Source organism: Homo sapiens, chromosome 16, assembly GCF_000001405.40.
Source record: "Homo sapiens chromosome 16, GRCh38.p14 Primary Assembly".
Classification (NCBI taxonomy): Eukaryota; Metazoa; Chordata; class Mammalia; order Primates; family Hominidae; genus Homo; species Homo sapiens.
This window is the reverse complement of record NC_000016.10, coordinates 55,802,067-55,828,060: the sequence shown is the minus strand read 5'-3', so window position 1 is coordinate 55,828,060 and position 25,994 is coordinate 55,802,067. Positions and strand designations below refer to the sequence as shown.

Sequence of the window (25,994 nt, the reverse complement as noted above, 5' to 3'; positions counted from 1 at the left end):
CTTTTCTTCCCTTTTTTAAAAAATAATGTTTACTGTTTTTATTTTCTGAGTGCAAATGTAATATATACTTATTACAGAAAATTTAGGAAATACAGAGAAAGGAAAGTAAGAAAATTAAGATCACATACAATATTCCACCACCCAGAGAGAACAACTATCAGTATTTTAGATGGTAAAGTATTATGATGTAATATATTGTTTGTATTCCAGTTTTTTTGCCTGTTGATATACTTTCTTTCTTTAAAAGGGAATGCTATATTGAGATAATTTGGATGCCTGCTTTGCTCATTTATAAGTATATCATGAGCATAATTCCATGCCATTAAATAGCACAGCCTGGTATTAAAAGCTGCATTACATTGGGTATTGAACCATAATTAATTTCCCCAAGCTTTTATTTGGGGTCATTAAGTTATATATGATGTTTTTAATAATATAACATCATGAATGTGAAACATTTATGCACATTCATGAATAGTTTAGGATAACTTCTCAGAAATGACATTTCTGAGTCAAAGAGTATATATTTCTTGTTTGATTTCCCTCCCAAAATATTCCAACTACACTCCTCCCATTGACGTATGAACATCTCCATTTGGCAGACTCTTGGCAATGCTTGGGATTATTAAAAATATTTTTGGCTATTGTATAGGCAAAATAATAATAACAATACCAGCAATATTATTTTCCTCTTTAATTTGCATTTATCTGAAGACCAGTGAGTTCTTTTTTCCTTTCTTCACATTGGAATGTATTATTATTATTATTATTATTATTATTATTGTTATTCCTCTTGCACTTGGTGATCTTAGGAAAATTTCCCAGGATGGAATCAAGAAGTCATCTTTGCTGGCTCTGATTCTGTCACTTGAGAGCTGTGTCATCCCAGAGTCTGAGTGCCTCAGTTTCCTCATGTACCTAGTGGGGGCGGTGATGACTGCCTTTTGGTACATTGAGGTCTGGGACTGTTGCTTATAATATACTTGTGTATAAGCACCACATGGCATGGATCTACCTGGCTATGTAACCTTGGTCAGGTTCTCTAACCTGCCTAGGCTTCAGTTTTCTCATCTGTAAAATGGAGATAATAGAACCTACCTAATGGGACTAGTCTGAGGCTTAAATGAGTTAATATACAAAAGGTACTTAAAACAGTGCCTGGAACACTGGGAGAACTAAATAACTATTACCAGTGTTCATCTATGTTGCATCCTTGAGATCTTTCATCAGGGCAACACAACAGCAACTGCCTGGGAGAGGCAGGTGGTAGAATCTTGGCATGTCAGGGCTGCAAGACTCATGTAGAAATCACTCCGCTCACTTAGACCTGGCGGATTGGGACGCAGAGTGTAAAAGGAATTCACCCAAGGTCACCCCATAAATGCATGGGAGAGACAAAACTAGAGCACAATTCTCCTGATGTTGTCCCACAAAGATATCACCCCTGAGCTATTGTGAGAAATGTCACCTCCCAGGGAGGATCAGTGTATTAGTGGTCTCCCCTCCTTGATGCTGGGAGTTCCAAAGGCTCTGGAAAGGGAAGAGGTGTGAAGCCCTTCTCACTCTGCTTGGTCTTAGGAGACCTTAGTGAGTCCCAGCGCCCCCACCTGAAGCCCCTGATAGCCTCCTACCCACTACAATGTCGTGAGTCTGTAACTATCAAGTCCATTTCCAGGCTTAAACCTCCCAGTCCAAGGCGCTGCCGTAGAAAACACCTCGCTTAGATCTGGCTGAACTTCAGGGGTTCTTCTTTCCCCCTCCCCAGGTGCACCCAAGATCCCAAGGCGGGGCAGTTACTCTCAGAGCTATTTACAAACCGAAAGGAGAACATTCCTCTCAAGCTTTCTGAAGACTGTCTTTACCTCAATATTTACACTCCTGCTGACTTGACCAAGAAAAACAGGCTGCCGGTAAGTTGTGGGACCCCCTGGTCAAGGCGTGTCAGTGCCAGTACCCCGCATCTTCTGGGGCAGAATGGAAGGGAGTGAAGGCAGCTTGGGGAGGGAGCTGCACAGGCCAGGATTGTTTCAGAGACCCCAGGGCCTCCACAGGAAACACTGGTTTTCCACACATCAGTTTACCCTCGTGACATAGGCACTCTGGGGGAGTTTGTTTTGCATCTTTAATGAACATCTTAATTGTTCCAAGTTCCCTCATGCTAATAGAAGGATGAGAATGATTACTTTTAGTTACTAGATTAAAAATCTGATACCAAGATTGGGTAAGACATGATTTTCAATGTTAGTGGTGGAAAGAACTTAGAGAAAAGCCAACACCCCAACTCTTCCTTTTCAAATAGAGAAACTGAGGCCCAGACAGGGAAGGGGAGGTCACCCAGTAGGGTAGTTTTGGCTCAAGTCTTCTGATCTTCACATCAGTGCTTTTGACATGGAGTAGGGCATTGAGCTTGTATGTGGCCTTTCTCCAGCACAGCAACATTCATCTGGGGTAACTTTCACTGTCCAGGTACGGATGTTGGGGGCGGAGCCTGGACAATCCCAGAAGCTCTTCCTTTTGCCTTTGGCCAAATAGCTGGGATTTCTTTTTGTACCTAATTTCCCTCCCTAATTGTCTTGGCAAAGGCTGATGACCCAGTGAGTCAGAATTTCCCAAATAAATGAAGGGCAGGACATGGGGCAGCCCGCCAGCTGCAGGTTGGAGGGTGGGGAGGGTCTGCTGGCAAAGGAGGCACCCAGGGTGAAAAAACAAGGGGTGTTGTGTCTAGCCAGTCTCCCAGGGGCACCGTGGCATGGTGCCTAGGAGTGGGGGAGCAGGTCTGCGAACGTGGAACTAGAAGTTGGTCCTACATGTGCTTTGTGAGACACAGGAAGTGAGAGAAAGGTTTACTCATTCATTCATTCATTCATTCATTCATTCATTCATTCTTCTATTGTGTACTCAGTGCCCCATATACACAGTTAGACCTGGGGCTTCAGGGAAAGGAGGAACATGAATCCACTCCACACAGCCCCTGCCTTCAAGGATCTTGCCTTCTGGGCTGTAGAGACATATCCTCCCTTCAGCACTTTATTGCAGGCCAGCCCTCAGGCTCAGTCTTCACACAAAGATGAATGCACACTCAATCCCTCCCCAGGAGGCAGGCAGGGATTAGAGTTGTGGGAGAAACAAGGGCTCTGGGAACCTGGAGTCAGGAGAACCTCCAGGAATGGCCACAGGCTCTAGAACTACACGGTCTGGGTTTAAATCCTGGTTCTGCTTTTGACTAGCTGAGAGACTTGGGAGTTTCTTAACTTCTCTAAGCCTCTGTTTCCTCAAAATGGGAATCATCACATATGATCAGTCAAGGGTGACCACTAAGCGTGATCTCAGTCCCTGGCTAAAAAGGCAGAGGCAGGCTCATACCCCTGCCCTAACAGTGGACTCACTGCACTGTGGCCGGCGCCTGCAGTGTGCTGGGCAGCTCAACATGTGGACTCTGGAGGCAGACTGCCTGGGTTAAAGTCCTGCTGCTACCACTTTTGAGTTGTAGGACCTTGGGCAGGTTAAGTGCCTCCATTTTCCCACCTGGATAATGGGACATTATTAGTACCTACCCAATGTATAGTTTATTTTACTGTGCTTAGAACAGCACTTGGGACATAGTTTATGTTACGAGTTCTTTTATATTTCATGAATAATATTATTACAATATCATTATTTTAGCCACTCTCACTTCTTCCCCACTATGTGGACTTTTAAAATGCAAGAATCATGCATGAGGAATTGTATCCACTCTCATCCTCCAGTATTAGCAGAGTCCCTGGCACATGCTAAGTTCTCGACAGTGTTAGTCCATTGACTGAAGGCATCCTGAAGTGGGTGGGTTTTAGGCTGGGTTCTGCAGGGTGGATAGGATTTGGGGATGCAGAGGCATAAGGAGGCATTTGAGGAAGAGACACCATCACAGGCACGTGTGCTTCTCGAGACAATCATTCATGCACAGAGAAGTTTACTTCACCAAGAGATAGTTAACTGAGATGAAGCTGAGATACAAGGGCTGCCCCATGGGTACGCTGAGTGCATGAATAGTCTAGGCTTGAGGGTGATGGGAGTGTCCTCCCGAAGAGGACATCCTTAGCCTTTGCTATGCCCATGATGATGTTCTCAGCATCAAGAGCCTTTCGGGGAGGAGGCACTGGAGGCTGGGTAGAAAGGAAGGGACAGCCAGGGTATGTGCAGTAGGGTGGTGGCTTGGGTCCCAGTTGGGAGAATTATGCAGGAGAGAGATTGCCTTTTGCAAAGTTGCTGGGAGCTGGTGAACTTTGGATAGCATCCTCCTTCAGTTGTAACCAACAGGTAGGTCACCAAACAAGACATCTTCTGAGTGCTCCCTGGCTCTGTGTCCTGTAACTGGTATGTTGCTTCCTCTCTGCCCAGGTGATGGTGTGGATCCACGGAGGGGGGCTGATGGTGGGTGCGGCATCAACCTATGATGGGCTGGCCCTTGCTGCCCATGAAAACGTGGTGGTGGTGACCATTCAATATCGCCTGGGCATCTGGGGATTCTTCAGGTAAGAAATCGGACTCTCCTCACTGCACTTTGGCCCCCAGAACGAGGATGCTAGGACCCAGCTCTTGTCATGCCAGCCCTCAGGGGAGCTTAGCTAGGTTCCACAGTAAGGCATCCAAGCCCCTTCGTAATTGGACACTACCTACCCTCTCACTACCCAGCCACTCATCCACTTGCCTCTGAGCTTTTGCATGTGCTGTTCCCTCTGCCTGGAATGCTTATTCTATCCGAAGAACACCTCTTCATCCTGCAAGACCCAGCCCCCAGTTACCTCCACTGAAAGACTCATCTCCTCTTCACCTATGTTTCTCCAGCACATTGCTTTTCTCTGTCATGACACTTAGCAGTCAGCCCAGCAGGTGAAGGTTGACACATCTGACTTCTCATGGAAAGGAGGGAAGGGGCAGAGTCACAGAGGGAGCTCAGGGCATGTTGTGGGTGAAGGAATGGGGGCTGCAGATGGTGGGGTGTGGGAGCATCTGACCCCTTCCTGTGGGAGTGTTGGGACCCACTCAGCTCATTTTCTGCTTGAAATTTGGCAAGTGTGGGAAGCAAGGATGGAGTCTTCCCATCAGGTCTCCATGGGGACAGGAGTCAGATCTCCTTCAAGGCGCAACTGCTATGAACCTTTTCTAAGGTTCTCCTCCATCCATGCCAGTCAGGTTTCTTCCTGAACACGCCACTCAGTTGGTCTCATTGCGGTCATCAATGACCTCCCCCTGCTCTCCACCCAACCTCTCAGGACTTCCCAGCAGCAGCAGATGGCCACTCAGCCTCTGTGACATGCTTCCTTCCCAGCCCCTTTCCTGGTCCTCCCTCCTCCCTGTCCACAGGCCTCTCTTGTCTCCCTCTCCCTCCTTACTAATTCCCAGTGATCCCAGGGAGCAGCCAGAGCCCCTGTTTCCAGCCCACCTCACCTTTGAAGCCCACAGGCATCACTCACTCCCTCCTCCCCACCCCTGGCTGTCTAAAGGGTGCCCCACTCTTCCCAGGGACAAGTTGAATCCTTGACTCCCACTGCCCCTCCCCAACAGAGACCCCCTTCTCCTCCCACCACGCCTCCACTCAGCTTCTGCTGCCACATCCTCCCTTGGGCTCAGGAGAAGGCCTTGTGGACAGCCCGGACTGTCTCTTTTCTCACAACCCTCTTGGCTGCGCCTTCAGAATCCACTCAGAGTCCCCTACTTTGCACCTCTTCCCTGGCTCCTAGCCCAGCCAAAGCTCTCTGTCTGTCACCTTGATTATGATCTTTAACACTTTCAGATCCCTGCCACTTTTATATAAAGCTGAGTTGCACAGTAGCCAGAGTGATCACTTAACACATGCATTGAATCATGCGATGCCTCTGCACAAAACCCTGCAGGGGCTTCCCATGCTCCTTACCATGACAGCCGAAGTTCTTGCCAGGCCCCAGGGCCCTCTCTAGCTGCACCTCCTGACTCACACTTTCTTTCACTGGGCCCCAGGCCCTTTGCACTTGCTTTTTCTTCTGCCTGGAATTCCTTTCTTTGGATATTTACAAGGTTCATGTGCTCATTGTGCTTGTTTTATGAAGGTCTTTGCCTCCAAAACCTCAAATGTCACTGCCTCCAAAAAGCCTTCCCTGATTGGGATCTGAAATGGCACCCCCTGTCCCACTCCTGTTTTTTTCCTTACTCCATTGTATTTACCTCAGTGCACTTTGACTACCTGACATCATTATATTCTCTCTATGTATCTGTTTATCTGCTTGTGATCTGTAGTGGGAATTCAGTGTCATCACAGGTTTTGCCTGTTTTGCTCTCAGATGTGCTCTAGCTCATAAGACAGCGTCAGGCATACAGTAGATGCTCAGTAAATAGTTGCCAGTTGTGTGAATGTAGAACCATACATCACCACAATGCTGTACTAATGAAAGCAGGGTCTCAGAGATGCTGAAGCCCAGCCTTATTCTTAAGGGTTCACTGAGAACCCCTAGCCCCATCTGTGGTCCTGAAGGTCCTGCATGACATCTCTGCTCCCCACCCTCAACCTGTTCTCTTCCTCACAGCACAGGGGATGAACACAGCCGGGGGAACTGGGGTCACCTGGACCAGGTGGCTGCCCTGCGCTGGGTCCAGGACAACATTGCCAGCTTTGGAGGGAACCCAGGCTCTGTGACCATCTTTGGAGAGTCAGCGGGAGGAGAAAGTGTCTCTGTTCTTGTGAGTTTTCCTGTCACCAGGCCCAACCCCACGCTTGATGTGATGCTGATGAGACCTCTTGGACACCTGTCAATCCAGCTATGGATACCTCTGATTACAATACCTGAATTCAGGACTGGCCCTACTCACAGCCCAGCATCAGGGGGTAGAAAGCTAAAGACCAGCTCTCCTTGGCCCCCAGGAAGCTCAGAGCTCAGCTTAGTGTCCTGGGGCCATATGAATCTCCAGTTGCAGCCTGCAATGGTGGCATTCTCCTCTTCCAGCTTGGTTGAGCTCTCTCTCTCTCTCTCTCTTTCTCTCTCTCCTTCACACTCATTTTAACATAAGGACTCACATCCCTTCTCTTGGGAAGTAGGAATAGGCATAAATTATGAGTAAGGGCAGGCAGAGAGAAGAGGTGGACAGAGGTCATTGTTTGGCTAAACCAGACCTACATGTGGAGGGGACATGGACACTGAGCAGGCTGGGAATTCCTCTGGGGTGGTCTGATGGCTTGTCCATGCCCAAGAAGGAGGCGACAGTCTTTGTGACTGTGGGGTCCAGTGGGCTAGGGGAGGCAGGCAGAGGAAGGAGGGATGGAGCCGCGGATAGGGAGGGATGGGGCAGGGGTTGTGGGTCATAGACACAACCTTGGGTGTGAGGGGTCCTGCTGGGATTGGGGATTGGGTTCAGGAGACACTGGGGGATCTGGGATGAAAACCCAGATGAGAGGTGCTGGGAGCTGTAGGAAGACTTCCACCTCCTTGAGGTGGGCAGAGGGTCAGCCCACTACTGGATTCCTCAGTCCCGTGTTGGTTTTATAGTGGAGTAGATCTAGCCTGGAATAGCGAGTGAGTCACTGACCCCACTCCTGAGCATGAACTCTCCTCCCCTCCACTCTGCTGTCAGGTTTTGTCTCCATTGGCCAAGAACCTCTTCCACCGGGCCATTTCTGAGAGTGGCGTGGCCCTCACTTCTGTTCTGGTGAAGAAAGGTGATGTCAAGCCCTTGGCTGAGGTAGGTCTCCGGCTGGTACGTCTCCGGCTGGACACCCCCACCTCCTTGGCTCTATGCTCCTGAATCCTCAGGGATCTCTCTTGTGGTCGGTTGTAGCTAATGTTCTCCTAGAATCACTGAGGCACCAATGGCTGAGCAGGAAGGGCGAGGAGACACCTTGATCAGCGTCCCAGTTTCACAGCCAGGCAAACCGACACAGGGCTTGGAAGGGATTTGCCAAGGGCAGCAGGTGATCAGGGCAGAGCTGGGACTCCAGCTCATGGCCCTAGCAGCCAGTACAGTGCCCTATCTGTGACCACACTCCTCCTATGTGCCAGGGCCTGGTGCCATGTTGGGCAGTGATGGTGTCTTGTGTCTCTCTGGGTCTGCCTAATGGCTGGTAAGTGGAACAACCAGGATTTGAAAGCAGACAAGGAAATTCAGGATTCCATGCTCTCTATCCCAGCTCCACCTCACATTTCTTGACACATTCACCTTGAGATGATTATGTCCATTTCAATGGAGATAAGGTAGCAGAGATGAGAGATTACATAATTGACCCATGTTACAATTGAGATTAGTAACAGAGGCAACGCTCCGTGGGACCTGGAACCCACACCCACGGGTCTACAGTATCTTCTGCTGCTCCCTGCCACTAGTACAAGTTGGGCTTGGGATAGAATGCCACTTTCCTCTTTGATGGAGGGAAGGGATGTCGCTCTTGAACTCTGTTGTTGCCTGTGATCTTTGCAGCAAATTGCTATCACTGCTGGGTGCAAAACCACCACCTCTGCTGTCATGGTTCACTGCCTGCGACAGAAGACGGAAGAGGAGCTCTTGGAGACGACATTGAAAATGGTAGGTTGCCTGTTCCCGTAGCCCAAACCCTGTAAACTTGGTCCCAGACTTCTTCATTTCAGCTGTCCTCTTGCCCAGGGACAGTTTCCTGGGACAATTTCTCAACTCTCAGTATCTGAATGGGGAATCTGATTTGTCCTTTTTTATTGTAAAATGCCACAAATGTAAAAAAAGAAAGTCAAAAAATAACATGATAAAAAATTGTGTAACAATCCCCAGTCCTGACCAAAATTTAATATTTTGCCATTCTTGTTTTCAGATGTATTTTTAAGAAATTAAATGTTACATATTCCCAGGGGACACCATCATCCTGAATTTGGGGGATGGAGATATTAAGCTCAAAGATTTTCAGAAAGATGTCACAATTTATCTTGGTTGACTTAGAAATTGTCTGTATTAGACCTAGTGGTGGTCCAGTTTTCTAGATTTTCTGAGACTGACTCAGTTGTCATCCTAGGATAGTCATCCATCCACCCATTCGTTAATCCGTCTATCTATGATTGTCTTATCCATCTATCTGTTCACTAATTCATCCAATTCACTCATATCTTTTTATCAATCTAATGTCAACCTATTCATAACTTTGTATTTATCTATTTTCAATCCATTCACCATTCATGGATCATCCAGCCACCTTATATCTCAACTCCATCACCCATTCCTCCAAAATCAACAATCCAATTATCGCCTGTCTGCTAGTTTTCACCCATCTATTCATGTATCCATTCAATTCAACTGTACTCCATGTATTGACCAACTCCATCCATCCCTCCATTGATCCATCCATCCATCCATGCTAAATATGTAGGGGTGGGTGTTAGAGGTAGCAAAACAGACATGAAGTGGACATAGTCCCTGCTCTCAAGGAACTATCCAAAGAGAAATACATTCATATACTTCGCAGGTTGAGTATGGTGGCAGCACAGAGGGGAAGCATTCATTGTAGTAATCAGGGATGCTTCACAGAGAAGGCGGAGGAGCCAGATTTGAGACCAGACAGTGGAATTCAGGAGTTCATGCCCTTAATCCTGACTCCACCTTATCTTTCCTGAGAAATTCAGCTTTCAGATCATTGTGCCCATTTTAACAGAGGTAACAAAGACAGATAAATTTTGTAATTGCCCCATGTCACAGTTCAAATTAGTCACAGAGGCAACACTGTAGGACCCAGAACCGACACCTGCGGGTCTAGAGTATCTTCTGCCTTCCCTGCTCCCTGCCATCCTCACATATTAGGACTTGGGGACCTTTAGGATTGTTGGATGGCCATGGCAGTCTCTCATCACAGGGAAGACCAGGAGGACAAACACCCAGATGACACAGCACCCAGGGCCATTGGGAACTATTCCCTTTGAGGGGGAAGAGTGTGAATTCCAAGCTCAGGAGTAGCCTGGACTCTCTCCTTGGACCTGAGGCTACTCCTGGATCCCAGGGCTGGCCTCTATCACTGGACTCTGCTTGTGTTTCCATGAGTTGAGTCCAATGTGGTATTGGTGCTTAGGTCTTGGCTCAGGCTCTAAGTGACCAAAGTGTTCAAGGAATGAAAACACAACTGTTTTCTAACGCCCGGAAGGAGGCAAATATTCCAGCAATTCTGCATGTGGCATCAGAGGACCCAGCTTAAAAGGGAAGAGTTGAGTCTTTGGGAAAACCCATCCCTAAGATCCTAGAACATTCTTTTGAGTTTTTCTGAGATCTTGTGGAAGCACCTCCATGATTACGCGCTGCCTCCAGTACACACACATGCAGACACACAGACAAACACACACACACACAGACACACACACAGAGAAACACATACAGACACACACACACAGAGACACACACAGACACCCACACACAAAGAGCCACACACAGACACACTCATACACACACACACACACACTCCTGGCTAGTGGGACTTCAATCCTTAATGGAGGGACCTGCACTGGTTACATCCTGAGCACAGGTCAGATCTGGGAACTACAGTGCAACACTACAGTCACTGCAATCTTGGTGAACACACACCAAAGAGAAGCATGGGGTAGGATGAGACTCAGTGAGCTTGCGTGAGTCAGGGCTTTCTAATGGGAGATGAGGAAACTCTCCCAAGTACCTTGAACAGAAAAAGAAATGTGTTGCAATAGCATCGTCGTGTAAACTGAAAATCTCAGGAGTTGATGGCTTCAGGCATGGCTGGGTCCAGATGATCATAGGATATTATTGAGAATCTACCATTCTCTGTCCTTCAGCTTTGCACATCTCTGTGTTGGCTTCACTCTTAGGCAGATATATCTCCTGGGAAGGTTAAAGACAACAGCACTCTAGACTTATGTCCTATCTGCTTAAAAACCCTCTTTCTAAACAATTCCTGCAAAAGTTTTGGGGTAAACTCTATTGGATTGACATGAGTGTATGCCCATCCCTGAACTAATATTCATGTTCAGGGAGATGGAGCACCGCAGGTCACATATAGATATACGAATTCACGGAGTGATGCGGGAAGAACCTGACACCTCTGTTGCCCCACTCACCCAGCTCAGTGTTCTCCTGGTAAGCCTCTCACCCACATCCTCTGCCTTTGTCTTCACAGAAATTCTTATCTCTGGACTTACAGGGAGACCCCAGAGAGGTAAGGACCTTTTGTTTCTGGATTACGGGTTTTGAGTCTTAGCACCTTTAAGCTCCAATTAACTGTGAGTGAAAGAATCATCTCTTGGGTAATTATAGTAACTCCTGCGTGTTTGTTTCTGAGGCCCAGAGAGGGGTAGTGACTCACCTGGGTAACACAGCCAGGAAGACTAGTGGCTGGCCTGGAACCCATTTTCCTGACTCCCAGTCCAGTGCTCCCAGGCATCACCTCTGTGTGCCCTGGGCTCTGCCCACTCCCCTTCTTTTTTACATTTTCTGCTCCCCAAAATGGCACTGTAGGAGGAGGCTGAAACAGAACCTTCCACAATCAGGAGGCAGAGATAACAGCGATGATTAGCCAAGGAGAGGGGAAGCCTAAATCTCAGTCCAAGGACACTCGTCTCCTCCCAGCACACAGGAAACTCCAACAGTATTCTCCCAATCTCCTCATCCCCACTCCCACCCCCACCTCCCAGTGGGTTGACAGTTTCTGGTGACATCACCTCTGACGAATCTTACAATCCTGTCCTCTCTGCTGCCTCCCTGGAGATCACAGCACTCTCCTAAATGGTCATGGGCGGAGTACATGAGATTCATTCAGCAAAGACTTAATAAACACTTCCTATGTGCCAGGACTTGTTTAGGAGCTGGGGATATAACAGTGAAAAAAGAAAGACTCCCTACCCTCTTGGGACCTTCCATTACAGTGCCAGGACAGTGCAATAAAAAAGCAAATCAAGTATGTATTCCGTTTGATGGTGTGCAGCATTAGGGGATAGAGTTTGTGGGTGGCTTCAATTTAAGTAGCAGGATCAGGGAATGGTTCAATGAGAAGGTGGCATTTGAGCCAAGCTCTGGAGGAGGCAGGAAGCCAGCTGTCAGGAAACCTGGAGAAGCCTATTCCAGGCAGAGGGAACAGTCACTGCAAAGACCCTGACAGAAGGGGCCAGTCTGGCTGGAGAGGACCGAGTGTGGGGACAGACTGGCTTGAGGCTAAAGAGGTAATGGGCAGTGGGAGAGAGATCAATTAAAGTACTTGGATTTGGATTCAGAGCAAGATGGGAAGCCTTTGGAGGTTTTGAACAGAGGAGTCACATGATCTTAGATCTCACAAAGGTCTCTGTCTCTGGTGTTCAAATAGACTGTAGGAAAGGGGCAAAGTGGATGCAGTTGACCAGCTGGGCAGCCACTGCATTGCCATAATCCAGGCAAGGGCTCCTGGCTGCTTAGACAGGGCTGTGGCAGTGGGGATGGGAGGAGTAGTTGGAGTCTGGATATCTTTGAAGGAATAGCTGACAGGATTTGCTGATGGACAGGATGCAAGGGGTAAGAAACGGGGAGGAGTGGAGGACGCCCTGAGTTTTCTGACACAACAAGGTTGTGCCCACACAGGGCAGCCACTTGCAAACTCTAAGTGGAGAACAATCACTTGTCATTGTTGCTGATGGCAGTCTTCCAGCATGGCTGTCACCCAACTGAGGTGCTCCCGTCTCTTGCCTCAACTTTTAGCCTCTTCTACTTCACCTTCTCTCCCCATTTCCATGTCTCATGGTGCAGCCAGACTGGCCTTCCTTAACAGAATTAGAGCACGTCACCCCCACTTCTTAAAAGCCTGACCTTCCTTATGAGACAAATCCCCTTCCCTCCATGGAGTTAGTCCTTCAAAACACACCTGCGTGCACACTGTGTGCCAGACTGTGCAGAAGGTAGGCTCTGCACCTGTCCCTCCCTCTAGACCCTGCCCCACAGCATTTCTCCAAGCCAAGAACTCTTGGTTGTTTCTGGAATTTACCCTGCACAGTGACACCTATGTCCTTTTGCTCATGCGGTTCCCACTGTTTAGAAATTCTCACTCCTTTCCTCACCTGGCAATACCATTCACTGCCCAGAGCCCACCGCAGGCAGGCGGCGTCTCTTCCACGTAGTCTGCCCTGCATCTTCCTTCCAGAGGGGCTGCTCCTCTTGCTGGCCTCCCACAGCAGCCCTGCCTGAACTGCACAGCCTCTTAAGGAGGCTGGACTTGCACCCCAATCCTGTTCTTCATTGTCAGCCATATTGGATTAGGATCTGATCTTGTCCAGCTAGGTCTGGTCCACTTTTCAGAACATCTCCCCCAGGCAGTCCGAACTAGCTCGTCATTCATTGGCTTTTGTAGAGCAGACCAAAGGTCCCAGAAGCCATAGGGTCTCAAAGGCTAGGAATTGTCCAGTTCCATCTGATATCCAGAAGGGAAATACAGCCCATGGGGCGTGGAACTGGGAAGATTCCACAGAGGACTGGTGTCTATGAGAGGGACCCACAGCAACCTTGCTAACAAGTAATACCTAACAGTTATTCAGCCTTTCCAGACACCAGGTGCTGTGCTAAGTATTTTACATGTGTTCAGCCATTTAATCCTCACAATAACTCACCTCTTAGATGAGAAAACTGAGGCCCAAACAGGTGAAACTCCCAGCCAGTAAGTAGCAGAGCCAGGCTTCAGATGCAGTTAATCTGGTTTCAAAGTCCATGCTCTATCTTAGCAACATCCACGCTCTATCGTAGCAACTACACCATTGTGACTAAATATGAAATATAACTGTACCCAGAACCAGCTGCCCTGATGGCAACACATGAGTTGGGCTCTCTCTAATCTGTGACCATATAAAAATTATTCATCAAAGGTGAAACCTAAAATTAAGACATGGATCAATATACTGTGAGTTAATCACTGATTCTTTTACTCATGATTTTCTCTCTAGTAGGGAATCATGTCCTAGTCTAGGCTCCTTGAGTGACCAGGGTTCGGTACCTCCTCAAAGCCACCCGTGGATCAATAACAGCTCTTGTTTAAATACAGATAGATAGCATAATCTCTTCCTCATTAATCATGGATTCTGTGTTTATAAATTCACCTGCTTGCTAAAATGTCCTTATAACCCCCAAATCAATACTGGTGGCACTTTCATGGTCACACACAGGCAGGTACAGAGCAGGGGAAGCTGGATTTGCATGATGGGCATGTTCCATCTGAGATCCGGCGAGGCAACCTCTCTCTTCTTGTTTCATCTCTGATGTTTACAAGTGTCCTCTTCGCGGTCTATTTAGTGCCGTGTGTTCTGCATTTTTGTGCTTTTTGTAGTGATGTCACTGTTTAGAGCGAACCCAAGAGTAGCGCTGCTGTCTGGCGTTCCTGAGCTAAACAGGCTGTGCTGTGCCTTACGGGGAAGGTGCCTGTGTGAGACAAGCTTGGATGAGGCAGGAGCTGCAGTGCTGCTGGCCGTGCATTTGGTGTTGAAAAATCCACATAATAGCACATTCAGAAAAAGGAGAAGGAAATTGGCCGATTCATACATGAGGCTGTGATAGAAAGGGCTAAAGTAACACCTATTGTGTGGGATGGAGCCGTGGAAGTCTCTTTCAACAGAAACCCACACATAAAAGAAGGTTGATGAAAATGTTGTGGCCAGAGGTTTGCAAAAACCTAACCCAGTATTTCCCCCTTGAGTGATGACCCTGTATTCTCTAATTCAGTACTCACGGGGGCTTTATCAGAAGCAACTGCCAGGACTACCGAAAATCAATTGTGGACACACAGAGGAAAATGCATGCACTTCAAATTGAAATATATAGACATGTAATTTTACATAGATAATACATGTATTTCAATATGAGTGAAGATTTCTTCCTCTCCTCATCACCTGAGCAGTGTCAGCCTCTGCCTGAAGTTCTGCCCCTGAGTCATGGAGACCTACCCCCCTAAGTTAGGATCCTGAGCATGTGCAGCCATGGCGCATGGCCATGCCGGTCTATGGTACTGGTCTCACCCTCAGACAGGCAGAGTTGGGGACATGGGTGTGACTAGGGAGGGAATCACAGGTGCTGCACTGCTCTCTCCCCAGAGTCAACCCCTTCTGGGCACTGTGATTGATGGGATGCTGCTGCTGAAAACACCTGAAGAGCTTCAAGCTGAAAGGAATTTCCACACTGTCCCCTACATGGTCGGAATTAACAAGCAGGAGTTTGGCTGGTTGATTCCAATGGTGAGAAGGCACATGTCTGTTGGAGGGACTCAACCACCCCCATCAGCCCTCCTGTCTCTGGTCCCAGGAATGCTTCCCTCTCCGAGCTGCACTCTGAGTCCTGGGCAGCTGTTCCCTTCAGCAGGAGTTAACATTTCCACGGAAATCTTCTCCAGGAGGGCACAGTTTTCACCGGGGTATCAGGGCCCTGGGATTCCCTCTCCCCAGACTCTCTTATTGTCTTCCTATTGAAGAATCCTGAAGTGTCTGTGCTGGGAGGGCCAGTAGAGAAAATAACTCTGCAGATGGGAAAACGGAGGGGGCCTAGAAGGGGGAAGGAGTGGAGGAGTCCGGAGAAGCAGTCGGGGGCTTCCTGGCTTCCCACCTCGGGCTGGGTGTGCGTAATTCCCCTGAAAATCACTCATGCTCTTCATCACCTCATTGAAAATATCCAAAGAAAGTGGCTTCTTCTTGAGTTACCATTGACTTCTAGGGAACAGCAGACATCAGCGTCTACTAAGAGAGTGGATGGTCAGAGGAAGATGAGGATGGAAAAGCTACCTAATCGGGTGCTATGCTCAATACCTGGTAACAAAATAATCTATACAGCAAACTCCAGAGACCCAAATTACCCATGATCAAACCTGCACAGTTACCCCCAAACCTAAAATAAAAGTTGGAAACAAATAAATGGAAAAAGTAATTGAGTTCTAAAAGTAAAGAAGTGTTCTCCTTCCAGTTGAAGATAAACAAAACTGACCCTGGTTAAAGCAGTAGGACAGATTTATTCAGTAATATGATTGCAATAGGGGAAATAGTCCAGCGTGGAGTGGACTCACATCCCTGAAACAAAAGCCTGATGACGTTTCATAGGCCAGGTGTGCCAAGGGAAACACTGTGGTCTATGGGGAGAGGCTTGGTTCATGTGACTAGACCACCTGGATGTCTTCATCCTGGCTCACCTGGGGCAGAAACAAACTCCTCTTATCTTTAGGACAGGAAGCCATGCATTAGACCGCAGGAAGAACCCACTGAAGTCAGGCTCTACTCTTTCGACAGGGACTGGGAAGATCAGGAGTGAGCTCCCTGAATGTTTGCATTGCAAAGAGAAGGCTCTCAGGTCCTCAAGGAAATGGGGTTGGGTGGTAGATTCACATCCCAAAGGGCAGAGAAAGTGTTTATCATTGCAGGCTTCTAAAGTAACTGCTCTAGTTGGGTTCGGGGACCTGGCTGCTTGTCTCCAGGTTTTGGCTGGAGCAGAGTAAATTGTCCTGGCAGGGTTGAGCCTTCCCAGGCAGTTATGTTAAGGATACTGGGGTCATTCTAGGGACACAGCCTTAAGCTGCTAGAAGCAATGCTAGAGATTGGTCGAGTCCCTGAGTGCAGAGGTTTGGGAAGAGTTGTTATGTGCGTAGAGATGTGCAGTTCGCCCCTCAGAAGGATTTCAGAGGTTATACCAAAGACCAAAGCCACGAAGACAGGATTTAAGGATTTCAGTGTCATCTGTGACAGGTGGGGGTACTAGGGAGGTCTACATCCTCTTCCCCAGAGCCCTCTATTCCACACTGGCCTGGCAGACACCTTGCATCTCCATGTCACTGACCACTGTAGGGATCCCAGCCACAGACACACACACACACACGCGCGCACACACACACACTGCAAAACACTGCCACAGCTTCTCTGAAATTTTGTTTTTTGTTTTTTTTTTTTGTAAACTTTGCAATGCTTGAGTTTCTGGATATAAGCCCATTTGATTCATTGATTTCACCCATTTCAGTAAAGACTCATGCCCTTAAAAGCCCCCATAATTAGAGGACTTTCAGACTGCATTGGTTTGGTTGGTTGGTCAGTTTGTTTCTTATCATTAATTCCCAATGATTCATAAATGCTGAACTTTTTTTTTTTTTTAGCAGTTGATGAGCTATCCACTCTCCGAAGGGCAACTGGACCAGAAGACAGCCATGTCACTCCTGTGGAAGTCCTATCCCCTTGTTGTAAGAGTCTAGGAATCATGGGAATTGGCTGAGACCCAGAGAGGGACAAGGACTTGCCCAAATCATAGAGCAATTAAATGGCAGAATGAAGACTGGGGCCTCAGGGTTTCCCCCATCTTTCCACCTTTCCCACTTCATTTTCCACCCTAGCGGGGAGTTGCACAGGGCTTATGGGGTTCACCATTGAGGCAGGACTTTCTGGTGGGCTGGAGAAGCTGCATCGCTCACCCGGGGCTGGTGGTCACTTTTTGATCTATTTCAGTGCATTGCTAAGGAACTGATTCCAGAAGCCACTGAGAAATACTTAGGAGGAACAGACGACACTGTCAAAAAGAAAGACCTGTTCCTGGACTTGATAGCAGATGTGATGTTTGGTGTCCCATCTGTGATTGTGGCCCGGAACCACAGAGGTGAGTCCCAGAGGTCGAACGGGAGGGACACAAACCCCACGAGCTTCTGTATCTGACCCACCTACCTCCCAGCATAGACAGACATGGAAACAGCTGAGGGTCAGGCCTCAAAGGCTGATTCCATATGGCATGGGATGAGGTGCTGTCTTATTTTGGTTTATGCCAGCAGAAGACTGTGAGAAAAAAAAATCCAGAGGCAAGTGGTTTTTTTAAGGTGATGATCCCAGATAACAGCAGTAGGGAGGTGGGGAAGTGAGAGAGGAAAGAGATGGAATCCAATCCAAGATGCGTTGTCAAGGGAGTATCCACTGTGGACAACTGGAGCGGGGAAACTCAAGGAAACACCAAGAATACAGGGCTCAGGGGCATCCCATCTGAGTGGCAAGGGAGCCGGGTATTTATTCACCAGCTTCTACTTGTCATTGGTTGAAGGCTCTTGCAAGGAATTGTTTATTCCCTGTGACTTCGACCTGCTGCACACAAGGGCAGAGTAGTCTCTTGTGACCAGACAAAGGCCTCAGGCCTGGAGCTGCAGATGCTGGAGGTGGAAGTCAGGCTGGCATGCCCAGGAAGAGGGGATATAGGTGAGACCCTGGCAGCATCTGCTGCAAGGGCTCCATGCCTGGAGTTATTGTGGGACATAGGGCTGCTGTAGGACAAATATTGAAAGATGAGTCGTGGAAGGGTTTTAAGGTCTGAGCCAGCTGCAAACAAGTTTGTTAAGTATTGGAGCTGGATAAAAAGTGGGAGCCCTGCATGGGATCCAGAGGATTGTCCAGGACCAAGAAGGCCAGAGAGAGGAGCCAGGGCGGGTGTGGGAGAGGTGGTCTGTAGAATGGCAGTGTCTGAGGGTGGTTTTTATGCATCTCAGTGCGTGCAGTAGCATGCAAGCACAGGGCAAGGGCAGGGTCTATGCAGGACCTGCTACCACTGACCCAAGGCTGTGTGGGTGGGGCATGACGTTAGGGATGTGTGTGCTCACCTAGAGAGGAGTGTCTGTTCCTGCGTGCCAGCTAGAGGAGATTCACAGGATTCCTTTTCTTCCAGCTCTCATTCGCCTAGTCTGCAAGCTAGGAAATGTCCTCTCTCTAACCATGCTGGAAGGGTTTTTAAATTTAGAACTTCATAAGCATGATAAAAACTAGCTAACGCTTAACTAGCAGGTGCCCTGACACACCTTTGCACAGGAAGGGGCAGGTGCTCATAACCCTCATTTCTTCACAGGGTCCTGATAAAAACCTTTAACCAAGACCACTGGAGTTGAATCTGTTCTTTCTTAAACTTGCCCTTGCCCTATGCTCTGCGTCTGAACTATATATAGAGTTCCCATCTCCATTTTCTGATGGTTTGAGCAATACTGAACTTATGTTTTTCATCTGGTTTCCCATGACTTTAAGTTCAGGGCTTTTTTTTTTTTTTTTTTGCCAGGACTACACAGATTTTATCTACTTTCACTTATTGTTGTCTCACTCTTTTTGATAAAATAACATTTCTGAATATAAAATTAATATGTTAAATTATAGAAACTTTCAAAAATATGGAAACACAAAAAGAAGAAACTATGTATCACTCATTTCCACTACCTGGAGGCAAGTGCTATAAATTTTTTGTGTTTTCGTCTAAAGATTTTCCATGTCCTATATACTTTAAAAATCAATTTTATATTTTACTTTTGTTCATAGAACACTATGTTGTGAGGATTTTCTCAATGTTGATACAAACTCATCAAAGCATTCCTTATTCCATGAAATGGCTGTGTTAAATAGACTTTAATATTCATATCCTATTAGATGTTTAGCCTGGCTACTCACATTCTGATGCTACAATAACATTGAGCTCAGCCTAATGTTCATAAGTCTCTAAACACATGTCTAATAATTTTCTTAGGATTATTTTTAGAAGTAAATAACTAGGTTGGACAATGCAAATGTTTTAGAACTTTGGGCAAATATTGTAAAATTGCATTCCACTGCATAAGAATGTGGATTTCTTAATTCTCTTTCTCATTTGGGATGCTAAGATTAAAAATTAGCATAACACTTCCAGTTTCATAAGCCTTCCCCACCAACAAGAAGCACATCAGCCTGTTTTAATCTGCATGTCCTCCATGACTAGCCCTCTCATTGTCTCTGCTTCTCTTATTATGTCTAATTGTCATTACCCAAATCTGTGCGCTACTTTCCTCTGAAGACTTGTGTTGTGATTGTAAGAATTGTATAAATATCAATGGCTTTAGCCAAAGAGTTTTACAAAGTACGTTTTGGGCAGCATGCTGCCTATAATAAGTTCTATCATTCACAAAAGCTCTTTCTTCTATGGTTGGCTCTGAGTTTCTTTGGAAAATGTTCGAGGGGCAAAGGCAAGGTCAAACCCTCCTTTTAGCAAGTTTTGTTTGACCTTGAAGCAGCCATTTAACAGGTGGATTACAGAGCCACAGAAGGATGGCATCTTCCCAGGTGCGCTTCCTGCTGAGCCGAGGGTGCAGTGCAGGAGGCTGACAAAGATGAGTGAATAGATTATTCTTCATTCTCACATTGAAATGACATGTGCGGGTGGGGCATGAGGTTAGGGATGCGTGAGCTCCCATTGTTAAATCCTTTTGTGAACGAATTTTTAATGATGTTAAGAAATGATGGCTGGAGGCGGTGGCTCTTGCCAACACTCTCAGCATTTTGGGAGGCTGAGGTGGGAGGATTATGAGAGCCTAGGATTTCAAGATCAGCCTGGGCAACATAGTGAGACCCTGTCTCTACAAAACAATTTAAAAGGGAAGTGATTACAGTGTACTACAAAATACCATATATAATATCATCCCCAGTTAAATACATAAAAGAGAGATATGCTAAAATAAAAAAGAAGCATTCTCTGAGTGGTAGAGTTATGAGTGATACTTTAAATTTGATTGTTAAAATTGATTTTTAAATTATATAGGATATGGAAAAATTTTAGAAGGAAATACAAAAAATGCATGGCCCTTGCCTCAGGTAGTGGAATTATGAGTGATATCTAGTTTTGCTTTATGCGTTTCCATATTTTTGTTTCTTCTAATTATTCCTAATTGTTTTTATTTTCCAAATTTCTTACTGTACCCAAAGGGGAGGACATTGTAAATTTTCTCCACCAGCCTGGCATTGCCCTGACTCTTTCCGTCTTAGTGTCACTTCTCAGTGGGTATCATGACCAGTGCAAAGTGCTGAGGCACAGGGCCAGGCGGCCCACGAGGTAGCCCTGAAGGGGCAGCGATCTGTGGCTCCAATGAGCCAATCATTGGGAAACTGGCATCTTCCTGGGGCTGGGACAGGAGAGCTTTGTTGGTGGGAGAGGAGGGCAGAGCCGAAGGAGAGAGGGCAGGGGAGAGGCAAGGTCACCCTTGCTCAGCGCCTTCTTTTCTCTGCCAGGGCTTTACTGCCTTAACACCCTAACACTCCCAGGCCAGGCAGGCAGCAAGACACATGGGGACAGTGAGCTATAAAGCAGTGAGTGCCGCAGGTTCCTGAGACACAAGAGGCAGATTGTTCCCTCTCTGCATATGTTTGTATTTAAATAGCCTCATGTTCAGACAAGCAACTTGGATTTGCTTCAGTCTTCTCAGGATGGGTGAGAAAAACACTGGAAATGCTCAAAACGAGGCAGAACAGAAGACACCTGTCATGGTGGAGATGGCATCCAAGTGAATGAACGCGAGTCTGTTATCAATGAATTATATCCGGTGTAACCAGATGTAGAGAGATTGTCTTGTGTGAGAATGCACCAGCAGGCAAAGGGGTTTACGAGGCAGAGTCAGGGTCCCTGCACCGGCAGCTGTTTTAAATGAATTGACCCAGGGTTTCCACATTCATTCATTAAACATTTGTTCATTGAACAAATATTTGGCTCTAATTCCGCTTCCACCTCAGACAGCTATGCAGCCCGGAGCGCATCACTGAGCTTTCCTGAGACTCTGTTTCTCTACTGTGCTGACAGCCAGAGGTTTGCTGCAGAGCTGAAGACCTTGGTAGCCTCCAGGTGTGTGTCTGGCAACATGAACTGTGCATGAATCCTTGTCTTCTCAGATGCTGGAGCACCCACCTACATGTATGAGTTTCAGTACCGTCCAAGCTTCTCATCAGACATGAAACCCAAGACGGTGATAGGAGACCACGGGGATGAGCTCTTCTCCGTCTTTGGGGCCCCATTTTTAAAAGGTAATGCTCCTTCCTGTCTGTGAGCTAGGAGTTAGAGACTTGGGTTCCAGTCTTGGTGTGGTGGCCTTCAGCAATTTTGTCCTCTCCTGGTCTTAGTTTCCTGATTCTGTATAACAGGGTTGAATGTCACTGGGTTGTCCGCCGGCTTCCTCCCACTCTAACACATGTGAGGAGGGATGTGTATTCATGTGCCCTCTGCACAGACGCTCAGAATCCTGCTGTGTGACATCAAGACAGGTGGTGGTGGGGGTCTCCTGCAGGATTCACTATGACAGGGTTGAATGTCACTGGGTTGTTCCCCGGCTTCCTCCCGCTCTAACACACCTGAGGGAGGATGTGTATCATGTACCCTCTGCCACAGACACTCAGAATCCTGGGCTGTGTCATCAACAAGATAGGCGGTGGGACACATGCGGGGCCCTGCTCTAGGTTGAGAAGCCACCAATCAATTTCCCTCTCCCAGGAGCGCTGAGACAGTGAGTGAGGGTGAGATTAGAATTGGTGTTAACCCTAAGTCAGGTCTAATGTGTGCCTGTTTGTCTTTCTGTCTGTCTCTAACAAAAACTCATAAACCTTTACATTTAGTACATTTAATAATTGTTGATTTAGAATTCACAGGATGTATGAATTTGGAACAGGAGAAGAGAATATTTTTTATATGGTTTATAGTCAGCAAGGTGGCCATCCCACAGGCTGGGAAGGTGCCTCTGGCCAAGCCCAGAAACGGGCTCATTGGAGGAGGGGTTGGGTAGGAGCTTTATGTGAACGGATTGGCTAAACATACATGTTCAACAGGTTACAGGGGGAGCAATGGATATTCATGAAGACAGTCCTGACACATGTGTATTAAACAAACACGTATGTAACATGGCCCATGTTCACCTGGTGGTGGAGACCTAATATTTAAATGTATTACAATTAGGGCCTGTAAGTCCAAAGGTCTTCTCAGGACACGAAGCTCAGCAAGTGAGGAGCTTCTGTACACCGGCCAGGTCCAGTCCATGGCTGGTGATGTTCTTATCTGGAGAAAGTTACTGAAATCAGTCTCTTATGCAATCAAAGCAGTAGTTAAGTCTGGCAAGTCAGGGTTCTGTTTGTCTGCGTATCCCAGCTGCAGCCGTTGTTATTGTTTTCCTTTTGCTTAGCTCCAGGCCAGTGCTGGTTTAGCTGCTAGAGAAAGAGAAGCACCTCGTGGCAGTGAGAACAAAGTGGATTCTTTTTTTTTTTTATTATTATACTTTAAGTTTTAGGGTACATGTGCACATTGTGCAGGTTAGTTACATATGTATACATGTGCCGTGCTGGTGCGCTGCACCCACTAACTCGTCATCTAGCATTAGGTATATCTCCCAGTGCTATCCCTCCCCCCTCCCCCCACCCCACCACAGTCCCCAGAGTGTGATATTCCCCTTCCTGTGTCCATGTGATCTCATTGTTCAATTCCCACCTATGAGTGAGAATATGCGGTGTTTGGTTTTTTGTTCTTGCGATAGTTTACTGAGAATGATGGTTTCCAATTTCATCCATGTCCCTACAAAGGACATGAACTCATCATTTTTTATGGCTGCATAGTATTCCACGGTGTATATGTGCCACATTTTCTTAATCCAGTCTATCATTGTTGGACATTTGGGTTGGTTCCAAGTCTTTGCTATTGTGAATAATGCCGCAATAAACATACGTGTGCATGTGTCTTTATAGCAGCATGATTTATAGTCATTTGGGTATATACCCAGTAATGGGATGGCTGGGTCAAATGGTATTTCTAGTTCTAGATCCCTGAGGAATCGCCACACTGACTTCCACAATGGTTGAACTAGTTTACAGTCCCACCAACAGTGTAAAAGTGTTCCTATTTCTCCACATCCTCTCCAGCACCTGTTGTTTCCTGACTTTTTAGAGATGCAGGCCTGAACCCTTGCCCGACGTGGCCTTAGGTCTCGTTTTTAATTTGGTGTCTTATTGCCACAAAGAGTGTGTTCTGTCAGAATGATGACCTTCATTTTATTGCTGATGCTGGTCCGGTGGTGTCTAAATCACAAAAGGGAGGGAGTATTATGAGGCGTGTCTGACCTCCTGTCCGTTCCCAGGCAGGAACAGAGTTGAAGGTTTTTCGAGGCTCCCCTTAGCCCAGAGAGGGTCTGTTCAGTCAGTTGGGGGTGTCAGGATTTTATTTTTAGTTTACATTATACAATAGTTTAAAAAATCCTTTCACGGTGTCTTCTAAGTCTTAACTCTCAGCAGTTACAGATCAGATGGGACTCACCCCATGGCTGCTCAGAACGCACCAGCGCCTCTGGGCATCTCACTGTGCATGCTTAGGCGCCTTGCGGCTCTGTTGTTTTTCAGAATGTGAATTGTGGGTGTGTGCTGGGGAGGGAGAAAAGACCCAAGAGAGAGCAACCCTGGAAAGTGGGGTTGCTGTAGAGGAAACCCTGGGGTGGGGCATTTCCTGTGACCCTGAGCGGGGAGGAGGCAGGCGAGGGTCACAGGAGACAAAGGCAGCCAGCCAATGGAATGACGCATGCCCATTGCTGAGCCCTAGGTCAGATATGCTGAAAGGTAAAGTACACACAAATCCACCACGATCTTCTAAAAGTGCAGACCTCAGCTCAGTGGGTGTGGGGCATGTGCCAAGACTATGTTTCCAGCAGACTCGCATGTGATGTTGACGCTGCAGTCCACGGACCACACTTTGAGTAACAAAGGCTTTTTTTCTTCTTCCCCACAGAGGGTGCCTCAGAAGAGGAGATCAGACTTAGCAAGATGGTGATGAAATTCTGGGCCAACTTTGCTCGCAATGGGTGAGGCTGGTGGCAAAGACAGAGCACGGCTGGTGAGGGTGGGGGGCGGGGCATGCCTATTGGGAAGGGGCAGCTTCTAAGGTTCTAGTGATCAAACTTCTGACCCTGTGACCATAGCACTCTGATAATGAGAGCTCTCTGCAAACGGAGAGGCCGCCCCTGGAGATAGTGAGCTCTCCATCTCTGGAGGTATACAAGCCTCTTGACAGAGATAACTTGGGCATCCTCACACATCTCTGAAGATTGTTGGGAACACACAGCAGCTTTGGGGCAATTCTAATTGATTCTGTTTCCAGAAACCCCAATGGGGAAGGGCTGCCCCACTGGCCAGAGTACAACCAGAAGGAAGGGTATCTGCAGATTGGTGCCAACACCCAGGCGGCCCAGAAGCTGAAGGACAAAGAAGTAGCTTTCTGGACCAACCTCTTTGCCAAGAAGGCAGTGGAGAAGCCACCCCAGACAGAACACATAGAGCTGTGAATGAAGATCCAGCCGGCCTTGGGAGCCTGGAGGAGCAAAGACTGGGGTCTTTTGCGAAAGGGATTGCAGGTTCAGAAGGCATCTTACCATGGCTGGGGAATTGTCTGGTGGTGGGGGGCAGGGGACAGAGGCCATGAAGGAGCAAGTTTTGTATTTGTGACCTCAGCTTTGGGAATAAAGGATCTTTTGAAGGCCAAATTGGTGCTTGTGTCTTGTACTGGAGATTAATACTTTGTCCTCAGAGACAGAACGGTGATGAAAGAGGCGATGTGAGAAGGAAGGTGGCTTTGCTGGGGATGGCCTGGTCTCAGGATGAGCAGAGTCCAGAGGGCTGGGTCATGGACGGTGCTCAGGGGAGCTCTGGGCCTGATGCACCTTTCTGGGCCCCCAACAATTTCCAACAATACGAGTTGGGGTGGCCAGAGTGCAGGATCCCTACCCTCTATTTGGAGTTGCCCATGGAAATGGAAGTGGCCCAGGCTGAGAATGAGTCTGGATCAGGGAAGAGGGAGACGTGCTGAGGTGATCCCGTGGCACTGTTGCATGGCACTTACTGACCGTTGCACAGGCCTGCAACACCTTTCTGAGTATGTACACTAGCCTCCCATACCCCTCCATGAGGTTGTCTCTTCCACCAACTGGTCGAAACTCCTTCTGTAGCCTGGACCACTTCTGGTGTGGGCAGTGACCACCTTGGAGGTGGTCCATTCTTCTCCAGAGGGTCATCCTAAACTGTGTCTTTCAGAATCCCATGGGTGATTTCTGGATTCTGTTAGTACGTAGAAAGCTCTAAAGCATGTCATTCCCGCCTTATCAGCAAGAGGAAGCCGGATTGTCCTCAAAATCATAACTTTTCCTGCACCAAAGAGCTGAAGTTGCAAGGCACATGGTTCCCTCGAAATCGAAGGGAAGACAAGCACCTGGGGGAGTGGTGGGATGTGAACACTGGCTTACTTCTCACCTGCAGGCAGGAGACGGCGTG

The 25,994-nt window shown here is 47.5% G+C and overlaps 1 protein-coding gene across 4 annotated transcripts in view; it reads left to right on the top strand.

The window, feature by feature from the left end:
- CES1 (carboxylesterase 1) overlaps nucleotides 1–25,210 on the top strand; it is a 30,246-nt gene extending 5,036 nt beyond the window's left edge. For 2 of the 4 annotated variants that reach the window (NM_001266.5, XM_005255774.3), the window contains exons 3-14: nucleotides 1,766–1,910; nucleotides 4,378–4,511; nucleotides 6,540–6,693; nucleotides 7,582–7,689; nucleotides 8,422–8,526; nucleotides 11,099–11,137; nucleotides 15,018–15,158; nucleotides 17,054–17,134; nucleotides 17,397–17,544; nucleotides 21,597–21,728; nucleotides 24,460–24,532; nucleotides 24,829–25,210. In NM_001266.5, coding sequence (NP_001257.4) covers nucleotides 1,766–1,910; nucleotides 4,378–4,511; nucleotides 6,540–6,693; nucleotides 7,582–7,689; nucleotides 8,422–8,526; nucleotides 11,099–11,137; nucleotides 15,018–15,158; nucleotides 17,054–17,134; nucleotides 17,397–17,544; nucleotides 21,597–21,728; nucleotides 24,460–24,532; nucleotides 24,829–25,012 — 1,444 coding nt within the window. In that variant the 3' untranslated portion in view covers nucleotides 25,013–25,210. Of the gene's footprint in view, nucleotides 1–1,765; nucleotides 1,911–4,377; nucleotides 4,512–6,539; nucleotides 6,694–7,581; nucleotides 7,690–8,421; nucleotides 8,527–11,098; nucleotides 11,138–15,017; nucleotides 15,159–17,050; nucleotides 17,135–17,396; nucleotides 17,545–21,596; nucleotides 21,729–24,459; nucleotides 24,533–24,828 lie in introns of all 4 variants that reach the window. The other 2 variants (NM_001025194.2, NM_001025195.2) reach the window with 1 other exon arrangement.